At 42.9% G+C, this 13,426-nt stretch overlaps 3 protein-coding genes across 6 annotated transcripts in view, besides 4 other annotated features; 2 read left to right on the plus strand and 1 right to left on the minus strand.

Moving 5' to 3' along the window:
- Window positions 1-2,959, plus strand: part of LRR1 (leucine rich repeat protein 1) — a 15,733-nt gene extending 12,774 nt beyond the window's left edge. For 3 of the 4 annotated variants that reach the window (NR_037793.2, NM_152329.4, NM_203467.2), the window contains one exon: window positions 2,543-2,959. Coding sequence is in view for 2 of the 4 variants with exons in the window: in NM_152329.4 (NP_689542.2) it covers window positions 2,543-2,783 (241 nt within the window). In the remaining 2 variants the exon portion in view is untranslated. Of the gene's footprint in view, window positions 1-758; window positions 912-2,542 lie in introns of all 4 variants that reach the window. The other variant, NR_037792.2, reaches the window with a different exon arrangement.
- RPL36AL (ribosomal protein L36a like) lies at window positions 6,817-8,913 on the minus strand. Its single transcript, NM_001001.5, has 2 exons — window positions 8,849-8,913; window positions 6,817-7,427 (listed from the first exon to the last, which is right to left on the minus strand). The coding sequence occupies exon 2, from the start codon at window positions 7,389-7,391 to the stop codon at window positions 7,071-7,073; it is 321 nt and encodes a 106-aa protein (NP_000992.1). The 5' UTR covers window positions 7,392-7,427; window positions 8,849-8,913; the 3' UTR covers window positions 6,817-7,070.
- Window positions 8,688-8,797: an enhancer, noted in NCBI's record as "active region_8317". NCBI's record gives its function as "activates an Ori minimal core promoter by ATAC-STARR-seq in GM12878 lymphoblastoid cells {active_cell/tissue: GM12878}" and the evidence as "EXISTENCE:reporter gene assay evidence [ECO:0000049][PMID:35858748]".
- Window positions 8,958-9,167: a silencer, noted in NCBI's record as "silent region_5697". NCBI's record gives its function as "represses an Ori minimal core promoter by ATAC-STARR-seq in GM12878 lymphoblastoid cells {active_cell/tissue: GM12878}" and the evidence as "EXISTENCE:reporter gene assay evidence [ECO:0000049][PMID:35858748]".
- MGAT2 (alpha-1,6-mannosyl-glycoprotein 2-beta-N-acetylglucosaminyltransferase) lies at window positions 9,086-11,768 on the plus strand. Its single transcript, NM_002408.4, has one exon. The coding sequence runs from the start codon at window positions 9,556-9,558 to the stop codon at window positions 10,897-10,899; it is 1,344 nt and encodes a 447-aa protein (NP_002399.1). The 5' UTR covers window positions 9,086-9,555; the 3' UTR covers window positions 10,900-11,768.
- Window positions 9,186-9,736: an enhancer, noted in NCBI's record as "H3K27ac-H3K4me1 hESC enhancer chr14:50087617-50088167 (GRCh37/hg19 assembly coordinates)". NCBI's record gives its function as "activates a minimal SCP1, AML or CMV promoter by ChIP-STARR-seq in naive H9 embryonic stem cells {active_cell/tissue: H9 hESC(naive)}" and the evidence as "EXISTENCE:reporter gene assay evidence [ECO:0000049][PMID:30033119]".
- Window positions 9,468-9,577: a silencer, noted in NCBI's record as "silent region_5698". NCBI's record gives its function as "represses an Ori minimal core promoter by ATAC-STARR-seq in GM12878 lymphoblastoid cells {active_cell/tissue: GM12878}" and the evidence as "EXISTENCE:reporter gene assay evidence [ECO:0000049][PMID:35858748]".

Genomic DNA, 13,426 nt, shown 5'->3' on the forward strand with positions numbered 1-13,426 from the left:
GGAGTTTGAGACCAGCAGGGCTAATATGGTGAAACCCTGTCTCCACTAAAAATACAAAAATTAACAGGGTGTCGTGGCGGGCACCTGTAGTCTCAGCTACTGGGGAGGCTGAGGCAGGATATATTGCTTGAACCCGGGAGGTTGAGGTTGTAGTGAGCTGAGATTGTAGCACCACACTACAGCCTGGGCTGCAGAGTGAGACTGCGTCTCAAAAAAAAAAAAAAAAGAAAAGAAAGAAATTGTACATTGTATTTATTCAAATTTGAAAATTATGTCCAAATGAGAAATGTTATAGTTTTGATTTGAAAAGATTATAACAAGTTTGGCTAAATGATCAGGTGAAAACATGCTGAAGTCCAACATGAAAAAGTACAAAGTTGGAAGGAAAAAAATAGATGATCAAAATGTGATATAATTGGCAAGGCACAATTTGGCAGAATAGTAATTTATTAGTGCTGAATGATTTCGCGTTATAGCATTTATGTTGCTTTTTAAATCTTACCACTATTAATATAGCTTTCTTGTAAGATGACTGAACCTTTGTTGAAGTATAATGTTGCGTGTTTTAAGCTCCCTTGTTTTAAAAAGTATATAGATTTAAAGCTGTGACACCAAAACCTATTATCTAGCTGTTGATAAATGGCTCTAACTACTGGTTACAAGCATACAGTTATGATCTATTAGGAAAATATGTGGGAATTTAAGTTATGTCAGATAGAAAATACAGTTTTTAACTGTTGTCTGTTTCCTCAATCTAGAACCATCTATCCGAAAGAGATTAATGTAAACATGTGGGAGACACTCCCTGGCAGAGTTTTTTAAAAAATGGTTACTTAAGCAACAGATTAATAAGTCTTTTTATGAAAAATTTAAAAATTGCAAATAGGGCCATCCTAGATCCCGTACCAAAGGTAACCGCTGTTTTTTTATTTGAAATGTGTATCTTTTCAGACTTTTCTGACAGGGTTTTAAACTCTCATTTTAAGTTGTAAGACTAGGCTTGTTTATTTGTTGAAAAATATCTGAGCACCTATTATGTGCCAGCCTAAGCTAGAGACTAGAGAAACAACAAAGAACAAGACACCGTGTGGGAGGCAAAGTGGCTGGAGCATGGTTGTGTTTAGCGGGGAGGTTTGGGCAGTGGGCAGGCAATCTCAAGACTGTGTTTTAGTGTCTTGTAGATGATTTAAAAACTTGACCTCAAGGCCCAGCGCAGTGGCTCTTGCCTGTAATCTCAGCACTTTGGGAGGCCGAGGTGGGCGGATCACTTGAGGTCAGGAGTTCAAGACCAGCCTGGCCAACATGGTTAACCCCCGTCTCTACTAAAAATGCGAAAATTAGCCAGGCCAGGCGTGGTGGCTCAAGCCTGTAATCCCAGCACTTTGGGAGGCCAAGGCGGACAGATCACAAGGTCAGGAGATCGAGACCATCCTGGCTAACATGGTGAAACCCTGCCTCTACTAAAAATACAAAAAATTAGCCAGGCGTGGTGGCGGGCACCTATAGTCCCAGCTACTCGGGAGGCTGAGGCAGGAGAATGGCATGAACCCGGGAGGCGGAGCTTGCAGTGAGCCGAGATTGTGCCACTGCGCTCCAGCCTGGGAGACAGAGCGAGACTCCATCTCAAAAAAAAAAAAAAAAATTAGCCGGGAATGTTGGCGTGTGCCTGTAATCCCAGCTACTCGGGAGGCTGAGGCAGGAGAATAGCTTGAACCCTGGAGGTGGAGGTTGCAATGAGCTGAGATTGCACCACTGCACTCCAGTCTGGGCAACAGAGTGAGACTCCATCTCAAAAAAAAAAAAAAAGTTTAGGCCAGGTGCGGTGGCTCACACCTTTAATCCTAGCACTTTTGGAGGCTGAGGCAGGCAGATCACATGACGTCAGGAGTTCGAGACCAGCCTGGCCAACATGGTGAAACCTCGTCTCTACTAAAAATACAATGCAAAAAAAAATTATCTGGGCGTGGTGGTAGGCGCCTGTAATCCCAGCTACTTGGGAGGCTGAGGCAGAAGAATTGCTTGAACCCAGGAGGCAGAGATTGCAGTGAGAGCGCGCACCACTGCACTCTAGCCTGGGTGTCAAAGCGAGACTCTGTCTCAAAAAGTAAAAATCAAAAGTTTGACTTGGGCACCACTGAAGGGTTTTAAGTGTGAGAGTGAAATGCCTTAAGCAAGGTAAGGTTAGCCTTACTTGCCCAGCCACTAAAGTAAAACTCATGTCCCAAGTGACATGTATTTTAAATTTGTCTTAGAGAGTTTAAGTTTCCCTTTTGAACAATTGATCCCTGGAAGAGCCTATTTAAAGGACAGGTGACTTTTTCATTCCATTTAGGGAGTTATGCTATTAAGTGGTTGTGCTGGAAGATATTTTATGGTGTGGTATCTGAAGTTTACAATATGTCATATATTGTTTTTTAGTATATTTTAAATATACTAATCGCTTAATAATTTTACTTTTCATTGTTAAAATTCCATGTCCTAATAATTCATGTCCTGAATCTAGTAACATGTTATAAAATATTTTTATCATTCTTTCCAATAGGATTCCATATGGCTCTCATATCATTCCATTCCATCTCTGCCAAGATTTGGATACCGCAAAAATTTGTGTTTGTGGAAGATTCTGTCTGAACTCTTTCATTCAAGGAACTACTACCATGAATCTGCATTCTGTTGCCCACACTGTGGTCTTAGTAGATAATTTGGGTGGTACTGAAGCACCTATTATCTCTTATTTCTGTTCTCTAGGCTGTTATGTTAATTCCTCTGATATGTTAAAGTAATGGGTGAGACCAGAAAAAGAAATTTCAATAACAGATCAGTTTGGGGTGCATGTATGATTTTGCAGCGTCAAATTGGAGTAAGGGAAGATTTCTGTATACTTGCTGGAGAGGAGGAATGTGTATAGTTACTCATTTAGATGACTCCAAAACTTTTATTAAAACCAATTTTAGTTTTACTGTGGTGTTAACTTTTTTTTAATTTATTACACTTGTGTTTATTTCACCCTAAAGTTTCCAACATGGGTTGTGGAGATATCTTTTAATGTTAAACAGATATTGATCCCAGTTAAACACATCTGAGTTTCTGTATGCAGAAAATATCTCTTGGAGGACTAATATGTCCTAAATTATAGTGAAAACTTGTTTATTATGAAATTATATGTAAGTTTTTAAGCATACCACTTTTTGTGTTTTTCAGATACATTATTCTACATGTGGAATTTACATTTACCAAGCAAAAAGTAGGAATTGTTTCAGGAAAGACTTTAGCTTTTATAATTTTTAAAAATGTTCCCATAGTAGTTGTTGTGGTTTCTTTTTTTGTTTTTGTTTTTCTAAGATGGAGTCTCTGTCTCCCAGGCTGGAGTGTAGTGGCGCAATCTCGGCTCACTGCAACCTCCACCTCAGCCTCCTGAGTAGCTGGGGTTGCAGGCGCACGCCACCATACCCAGCTAATTTTTTGTATTTTTTGTATTTTTCAGCTAACTTTTTGTATTTTTCACGGTGTTTCACCATGTTGGCCAGGCTGGTCTTGAACTCCTGACCTCAAATGATCTACCCATCTGGGCATCCCAGAGTGCTGGGATTACAGGCTTGAGTCACCGTGCCTTGGGATTGGGTGGGATGGGAAAGGGAACAGAAAATTGCTACTTTTTTTTTTTTTTTTTTTAGACAGAGTCTTACTCTGTCACCCAGACTGGAGTGCAACGGCATGGTCTTGGCTCACTGCAACCTCCACCTCCCAGGTTCAAGCGATTCTCCTGCCTCAGCCTCCCAAGTAGCTGGGACTATAGGTGTGTGCCACCACACCCGGCTAATTTTTATGTATTTTTAGTAGAGACAGGGTTTCACTATGATGGCCAGGCTGGTCTCGAACTCCTGACTTCATTATACGCCCACCTTGGCCTCCCAAAGTGCTGGGATTACAGGAGTGAGCCACCATGCCCGGCCAAAAATTGCTACTTTTTGCTGATTACATTTTGTATTATTAGGGTGGGTTTTTAAATTATTTTTGTCACATAATATGACAAAAATGTTTATTATTTTGTCATATTAAATGACAAAATGTTTAATGTTTTTGATTTTAAAAGTAGTGGCAATACACCAGCTAAATGGTGATTTGGGCCCAGTGCAGTGGCTCATGCCTGTAATCCCAGCACTTCAGGAGGTCGAGGCGGGCATATTGCTCAAGCCCAGGAATTCAAGACCAGCCTGGGCACGAAGACAAAATCCTATCTCTACAAAAAATGCAAAACTTAACTGAGCATTGTGGTGTACGCCTGTAGTCCTGGCTACTCTGGAGGCTGAAGTGGGAGGATTACTTGAGCATGGGAGATTACAGTGAGCCAAGATCATGCCACTGCACTCAATCCTGGGTGACAGATGGAGACCGTCTCAAAAAAAGATGACGTGAACTAGGGCATAAGGAATGGAAAAATAACCAACTTGAAAGACTCATGGAAAATAGAACCAGTATTAACTTTTTCATTCTGTTCATTCCCACCGACCTACCTCAAGTCAGCCTCTCCACCAGAACATTGCAATAATCCCAGCCTCGTTTTTGTGAACAAAGGAAAGAATAAAAGTTACTGGAGAAAAGCCCTCTCCAGTGTTAATGTAATTGCTGTTTTGGGCTTGTTAGCAGGGTCTCTGTAAGATTATTTCTTACAAAATAATTACCTTACCGCGTTTGTCTTCCTAAAATGTTTATTTGGGGCATTTTTTTTTTCTTTTTTGAAAGTTCAGATACTCCTGAGTAGATGCAGTTTTTTTTGTTTTTTGAGATGGAGTCTTGCTCTGTCACCCAGGCTGGTGTGCAATGGCGTGGTCTTGGCTCACTGCAACCTCCGCTCTGCCTCCCAAATTCAAGTGATTCTCCTGCGTCAGCCTCCCGAGTAGCTGGGATTATAGGCATGTGTCACCACACCCGGCTAATTTTTGTATTTTTAGTAGAGACAGGGTTTCACTATGTTGACCAGGCCGGTCTCAAAACTCCTGACCTCATGATCCGCCCTCCTCGGCCTTCCAAAGTGCTGAGATTACAGGCAATGAGCCACCACGCCTGGCCATCTAATTTTTGTATAGTAGAGACAGTGTTTCACCATGTTGGTCAGGCTGATTTTGAACTCCTGACCTCAAGTGATCCGCCCACCTCGGCCTCACAAACTGCTGGGATTACAGGCATGACCCACTGCACTCAGCCGTTCCAGGTGTTTTATAAGCAGCATTTAATCTTTAAAAATCACCCTACGAGAGAAGTACCATGAACCCAAATCAGATTTTAAGCCCAGGCTACTGTATTCTAGTTAATTTACTTTTGGTCTTTAAAACCAAGAATTCCCTAAGTATTTTAGGATTTTCTAAACTTGTAGGTTGGTGAGGGATTGTCCATAAATATTACAAAATAGCTGAATTAAAACATTCTTTAAAAAGTGATGGTAGGCCAGGTGAGGTGGCTCATGCCTGTAATCCCAACACTTTAGGCTGAAATGGGTAGATAACCTTTGAGCCCAGGAATTTGAGACCAGCCTGAGGAACAAGGCAAAACTCCGTCTCTATAAAAAATACAAAAATTAGCCAAGCATAGTGCTGCATGCCTGTAGTCCTAGCTACAGCTACTAGGAAGGCTGAGGTGAGAGGATAGCTTGAGCCTAGGAGGCCAAAGCTGCAGTGAGCTGTGAGTATGCCACTGCACTCCAGCCTGGGCAACAGAGCGAGACCCGTCTCCAAAAAAAGGAAAAAGTGATGGTGATGTATTTAAAAATAAACTCGTATACATGATTTTTACATTTTTTTTTACAATCAAATGCAGCTATAATAGTCAGTTATTGGGATTATGTGCAAACCATCTGTTACTCCTACACACCCTAGCCCTTTGCATTCCTCTAACTACTGTCATTCCCATGTATCTTAGTCAACTTAAATTCATATACAAAAGGCAGAATTTGACCTCTTATAACCCCTACCTTTTCCCAGTTTTTCACTTGATACTGAACTTTTCTTGCCTTTCATAATTACAAGGCTCAACTTTTTTCATTGTGAATTTCAACCTTCTTGTTTTCAGTCATAACTCCTAAACCTTCCTAACTGTCAAGTTCTGGCCAAGCACAGTAGCACACTGTAATCCCAACCCTTTGGGAGGCTGAGATGGGAGAATTGCTTGAGCCCAGGAGTTGAGACCAGCCTAGGCTCAAGAATTGCTTGAGCCCAGGAGTGAGACCCCATCTTTAAAAAAAAAAAAAAAGAAATAAAATTAGCCAGGCAAATTCGCCAGGCATGGTGGTACCCAACTACTCCAAGGCTAAGGCAGGACCTACAGAGCTACAGAGCCTGAGAGGCCACAGTAAGCCATGAATGTGCCACTGCACTCCAGTGCGGGTTACAGTGACAGATTGTCTCAAAAAAAAATTTTTTTTTGAGTACCTCCCAGAGTGTTCTAAGAGGTTCAAAAAACAGTTTATGCTATCTTGGACTTTCACTAGATTGAGAACTTTAGTGTGAAGTCAATTTTGAACTATCCTTTTATATTCAAGGCCACAGTCTCTAACAGTACTGTCCAAAAGAACTTTCTGCGGTGGAAATGTTTTACATCTGTGTTGTCCAATAAACTAGCCACACGTGGCTGTTGAGTACTAAATCTGACTAGTGTAACAGGAAACACATTACCTGGCTAGCGGCCCCTACTAGACAGAATATTTGGTCAGCTCTTACTATCCCCCAACTTCCATCCTTTGCCCAACCCAGCCTGCTATACACAAGCCTAGCGTTATCTTGTTCCTTCTCTTGCAAAATCTTAAAGATCCTTCTAAGCTGCTCAATGTTTATGAATTCATTCAACATTTGAAATTGACCAGAAAACAAAAAGTAGTAAAGTAGTATTTTCCCTTCATACATATATAAACTTGTTAGTAAAGTTTGAGGTGGGACTACACTAAACATGGAATTCTATTTATAAGTAAAAACCACAAAAAGTTTGCGTAAGAATATCACTGTATTTATTTTCCCTCGGGTAACTTTTCTATGGCTTCACCATTTTCTCTTCAAAATTGAAGAAAAATATCCCAAAGTTTAGAACTGGATCACTTGGCCCTTTCTCTTCTTATCTCCTCCCAGTTCAAAATGCTTGCATCTCTTAATGGCCAGCATCCTCTTGGATCTGCAGTTAGGCTCAACACATTCCAGCCTTAGCACAATCTTCTTTGTGGTCTTAGCCTTCTTCCGGAAAATTGGCTTTGTCTGCCCACCATAGCCACTCTGCTTCCGATCATAGCGCCTCCTTCCCTGGGCATACAAAGAATCCTTGCCCTTCTTATACTGTGTCACTTTGTGAGGCTGATGCTTGCCACACTTCTTACAGAAGGTTCTTCGGGTTTTAGGTACGTTGACCATCTTTGCAGCAGGGCTGTTTTGTCTATATGATGAAAACTGTAGTAAAATATTTAAAATAAGATAGCAGACGTTAAACATTCCGAAAAGTGAAAGTGCTATACAAGTATATACAGGAAAACCGTACACATAAATGAGTAATATATAAATCCACCACGTACTCTTTTTCCATATGAATAAACGCACATACAAGTACATACCTTTTTGAAACACTTCGTTTAAATTACTGGAGGACTAATTTGTCGACCTAAAGAACTGAGGCAAGGCCGAGCACGGTGGCTCATGCTTGTAATCCCAGCACTTTGGGAGGCCGAGAAGGGCGGATCACCTGAGGTCCGGAGTTCGAGACCAGCCTGACCAACATGGAGAAACCCCGTCTCTACTAAAAATACAAAATTAGCCTGGCGTGGTGGTGGTGCATACCTGTAAGGAGAATCGCTTGGGCGGGGTGGGGAGGGGCGGAGGTTGCCGTGAGCCGAGATCGCACCATTGCACTCCAGCCTGGGCAACAACAGCGGAATTACGTCTCAAAAAAAAAAAAGAACTGAGGCACAATTCATATAAGTAGAATGTTTATTTGGGGCAAGTTTGAGGATTGCAACCCAGAGCACAGATTCAAAATGCCCTGAGTAGCAGCAGTTGCAAGTGGGTTTTTAGAGGAAAAAATGGCAGTTCCTAAATTGTCTACCAAGAATTTACATTAAAATAACACAAGCGATTGATTGGCTATACATCATTCTTTTCATGACAAATTCCAGGAACGCGGACATAATGGGTGAAGCAGCTAGTCAGGAATAAAATGCCAGGCATTAAGTGGGGAGGTGTCTGAAGTCCCATACTGCTGTCTCTCTGGGCCCGGCAAATTTTGCACATCTCAAATAATTAACAATGCTCCGAGCCATTCTTCTTTTCTCATATAGAACAAGACTCACGAAAACCGACAGCAGCAGCTTTAGGAGGCCCAATACAGTCCGTTTTCCGTACGAAATGAGTTTAATTTATTGTGACTGCTCCAAAAGAAAAGTGCGGTTCATCTAATTTTCTTCCGAAAAGGAAGTTAAGGACCAGAGTTTCTTTGACCCCCTTCCCCCCACCCACCTCCTCCATTTTCCAGCTCTAGAGAATGGCTGGGGCAGCGCGCGACGTTGTAGCTACGGTTACGACCCGCCCCGTTCCTTCTACGAGAACCACATCAGCGTAGTATCACTTTTCCCCTCCGAAGCACAGTCACCCGTCAGCAGCCTCGAGGGCTGACGTGTCCTTATCAAGCCGGCGCGCCCCGCGATTCTATAGCCGCCATGCCTGAGACCTTTTTCCTGAAGGGAGAAGCCTGCTCTCGAACTAAGGCCGGCGAGGGCCATAGGTCTCGCCTTCCCTTTCCTAAGAAGGCCTAGTCCTACCCAGGATTCTGAGCAAGGGAGGCTCCTATTGGAGCCGCTACAGCCTCGTTCTTAGCTTACCGAGAAACAGCGCCCGACACCTGGCCCTTCGCAGCTCTCGCCTTTCGCAGCTCTCGCCTAACAGGAAAGGGAAGAAACAGGCGGAAGTGGGAACTGCACCTGAGCGACAGTACTGCAAACCAATAGGCAGCCGGCCACGGCGGTCAGGCGCCTTCGGTCGCGTCTGGAAAGCACCAACCAACGGTCTAAGGGGCGGGCCGGAGGGGTGTGGGCCGGAGGGCCGCGGTGTGCCGCGGGGCAGTTGCGGGTTGTCATAACGGTCCCCGCCGGAGTGAGGCGAGGCCGCGTCGCTCAGTTCTGGCCGTCTAGGGCCCCTGTAAGGATGAGAGCGCAGAGGACGCAGGGCCGCTGGAGGCGCAGGTAACGAAGCTAGGGTGCGGTTGGGACCGCGGCTGAGCTTTTTCCGGGACCCGTGGTGCTGAATGGAGAGGACGGAGACGAAGCCGAGCCGCGGCTCCTAGCGGCGGCGCCGATGCTCGAGCTGTAGCTGCCAGGCGAGGATGTGTGGAGCGCAGGCGGCGCGGGGTAAATGAGAGGTCTCGGGCCCCAGGACCCCCGGGGCCCGGGATGAGTTAGCGAGGGCAGCCGCGGGGGCCAGTTCCGACCGTGACAGGCCAAGGCGACGGCCGCCGCCCGCCCGCCCCTTCCGTGCAGAAGCAGCTGCTCCTTTCCGCGCCCGCCCGCCTGCGCTCCCGGCCCTGGAGACCATGAGGTTCCGCATCTACAAACGGAAGGTGCTAATCCTGACGCTCGTGGTGGCCGCCTGCGGCTTCGTCCTCTGGAGCAGCAATGGGCGACAAAGGAAGAACGAGGCCCTCGCCCCACCGTTGCTGGACGCCGAACCCGCGCGGGGTGCCGGCGGCCGCGGTGGGGACCACCCCTCTGTGGCTGTGGGCATCCGCAGGGTCTCCAACGTGTCGGCGGCTTCCCTGGTCCCGGCGGTCCCCCAGCCCGAGGCGGACAACCTGACGCTGCGGTACCGGTCCCTGGTGTACCAGCTGAACTTTGATCAGACCCTGAGGAATGTAGATAAGGCTGGCACCTGGGCCCCCCGGGAGCTGGTGCTGGTGGTCCAGGTGCATAACCGGCCCGAATACCTCAGACTGCTGCTGGACTCACTTCGAAAAGCCCAGGGAATTGACAACGTCCTCGTCATCTTTAGCCATGACTTCTGGTCGACCGAGATCAATCAGCTGATCGCCGGGGTGAATTTCTGTCCGGTTCTGCAGGTGTTCTTTCCTTTCAGCATTCAGTTGTACCCTAACGAGTTTCCAGGTAGTGACCCTAGAGATTGTCCCAGAGACCTGCCGAAGAATGCCGCTTTGAAATTGGGGTGCATCAATGCTGAGTATCCCGACTCCTTCGGCCATTATAGAGAGGCCAAATTCTCCCAGACCAAACATCACTGGTGGTGGAAGCTGCATTTTGTGTGGGAAAGAGTGAAAATTCTTCGAGATTATGCTGGCCTTATACTTTTCCTAGAAGAGGATCACTACTTAGCCCCAGACTTTTACCATGTCTTCAAAAAGATGTGGAAACTGAAGCAGCAAGAGTGCCCTGAATGTGATGTTCTCTCCCTGGGGACCTATAGTGCCAGTCGCAGTTTCTATGGCATGGCTGACAAGGTAGATGTGAAAACTTGGAAATCCACAGAGCACAATATGGGTCTAGCCTTGACCCGGAATGCCTATCAGAAGCTGATCGAGTGCACAGACACTTTCTGTACTTATGATGATTATAACTGGGACTGGACTCTTCAATACTTGACTGTATCTTGTCTTCCAAAATTCTGGAAAGTGCTGGTTCCTCAAATTCCTAGGATCTTTCATGCTGGAGACTGTGGTATGCATCACAAGAAAACCTGTAGACCATCCACTCAGAGTGCCCAAATTGAGTCACTCTTAAATAATAACAAACAATACATGTTTCCAGAAACTCTAACTATCAGTGAAAAGTTTACTGTGGTAGCCATTTCCCCACCTAGAAAAAATGGAGGGTGGGGAGATATTAGGGACCATGAACTCTGTAAAAGTTATAGAAGACTGCAGTGAAAATCACAGTTACAAAAGCGACAGTCTTCTATTTTTGATATTTGTCCAAACAGGACATACAATTGAATAAAAGAGTTTAGGAACTGGTTTCTGCTTTAATACAAAAACAAAATCTTGTAAAAGGTGTCCAAATACATAGTAATCTTTTCCAGTTATGTCTGATTAAGATTTAAAACTGAAGGTTTCATTTTGGGAGTAGGGTTTTAAAGCTCAATCTGTTATCTGCTAAAATTGATTATTGTTGATATGAGAGAAGAGGGGAAATTTTATTTAAATTGCATTTATTAATCTTTTTATCTGAAACTTTGTACACTTTTCCACTTTCAAAACCTATTTTAAGTACAGCAAAATTTATTTAAAACTGTCATAGCAGTAAAAAGTATTACGATGAAATTGTTAGGGTATTAATGGAACAAACCCAGTTTCACTCTCTTGACACACTTATTAGGAAGGGATTGCTTCACTGGTTTAATAATTTAAAAGTTATGTTTGTTAAACACCCTGTCAGAACAGTCATTTTCAGTATTAGATTCCTGTACTATTGTGTTTTGAGTGTGTTTTGGAACCTTCATAGAACACACTTTCTTTTGGAATGTATTTGATTGATAAGAAAGTTTAAACATTGTTTTCACCTCAATGTAGAAATACAGTGGTTTTGTTTTTTTTTTTCTTTTAGTGCTGACAAAATAAAATACTCATTTTTGCATAAAAAGGTTCCTAATCCTTTTGCAGAATAAGTTTTGTTTACTCTTTATACCAAAATTCAGTGAAGGCATTCTACAAGTTTTGAGTTAGCATTACATTTTAATATTTACTATTGCTACATTGTATAATTGAGTTTGAAATAAAACCCAGCTTATGACAATGCATTCCCTGTGCAAGAAACTGTTTGGCTTTCAAATTACCCAGGCATTGAAAATGAATGATAAAAAGTTGCTGTGTAAGGGAAATACAGCCTAAATTGTTTTTGAAAGCCAGAAATGATACAAAGTTCAGTCATGCCAAAGTGAAATACTTTCTAGTGCCAGCTTTAACTTAAATCATACGTTTTAAAAGGACAGATACAGAAAATTATAGGAAACAGGCTTAAATTTTGCTCCATATTTAATGTAGACGTTTATAGAAGTTTCCCTTAATTTGTAATTGCATTCAACCGAGAATTTCTCATAAAAGACTAATTTCTGTGTAAAGATATTACGGGCTGGGTGTGGTGGCTCATGTCTGTAATCCCAGCACTCTGGGAGGTTGAGGCAGGCAGATTGCTTGAACTCAAGAGTTTGAGACCAGCCTGGGCAACATGGCGAAAACCCATCTCTACTAAAAATACAAAAAATTAGCCGGGTGTAGTGGTGCATCTGTAGTCCCAGCTACTTGAGAGGCTGAGGTGGGAGGATCCTTTGAGTCTCGAGGCAGAGGTTGCAGTGAGCCTAGAGCGTGCCACTGCACGCCAGCCTGAGCAACAGAGCAAGGCTCCATCTAAAGAAAAAAAAAAAAAGTTACTTAAACTTGTAACTATTAAATGGCAGTCTCAAAATTATTGCATCAATTTAAGATTCATAGTAGTTTAAGAGCACATATGCTTATCTAAGGTGAGGCAAATAGTTCTCTTGCTTTACGAGCTACCTTTAGACTTACCCACGGCCCAGTCTGGTGCAAGATTTTGCCTGGGGGTTATAAATAAGGGTGAATCAGGAGGCTTTGTACCTATTTCTGGTACTCTGACCTGACATCACTAGTTCAAAGAACTAAAAAATTAGGTTATTTCCAGGACTGAGCTAAGAAGGCCAGAGTGTGAAGTAGTAGCTGTTTTTGAAACAAATAGATCAGCTCCTGGCTTTGGGGTTAGTGATTAAATCAACAAATATTTCCCTTTCTGTATTTCCTTCCTTTCATTTTCTTTGGCTGCCCTAAAATTTTTTGTAAGAAAAAAACCTGTTAGGATCTTCTCTTTGCCTCACATTTTAGGTGTTATAAAGGAAATTGATTATGCAGGAGGCTGAGATGAGAGGATCACTTGAGCCTAAGAGTTTGAATCCAGTCTGGACAACATAGCAAGACCCATCTCTTAAAAAAAAAGAAAGTGATTAGGAAACACTGGCTTTTTTTTGTTTTTCTGTGTAATAATGTAATGAAGGCAATTTTCCTATCAGAGCAAATTGCCAGATTTTAAAAATTCCAGTTTTACTCTTAAATTTCTATAAAACCACAAGATGTTTTAATATTTCAATAACTTCTAAGAAATACTTCAAAATTGAATTTTGAAAATCATTACTAAATAACTAAATCTATTATATATACTTTATGTAACAAAAATATATATAGTTTGTGTGACAAAATATAGAGCTGATGAAAAGTACTACATTTTATCTGGTGAATTTGTATCGTAATTGTTTAGATTAATATTGGTTAGTAAAGTTCTTTCCCCTCTAAGCTCTATTTCAAGCTTAAATATGTCCTACTTAGTGAGACTGAGAAACAGTTTTGAAATTCTACCCCCCACACATGTACTTATAATTCCAGTTAAATG

Source organism: Homo sapiens, chromosome 14 (assembly GCF_000001405.40).
Source record: "Homo sapiens chromosome 14, GRCh38.p14 Primary Assembly".
Taxonomy (NCBI): Eukaryota; Metazoa; Chordata; class Mammalia; order Primates; family Hominidae; genus Homo; species Homo sapiens.

Coding starts and splice junctions, on each gene's coding strand:
- MGAT2 (NM_002408.4), top strand. CDS start 9,556: ATGAGGTTCCGCATCTACAAACGGAAGGTGCTAATCCTGACGCTCGTG.
- RPL36AL (NM_001001.5), bottom strand. CDS start 7,391: ATGGTCAACGTACCTAAAACCCGAAGAACCTTCTGTAAGAAGTGTGGC.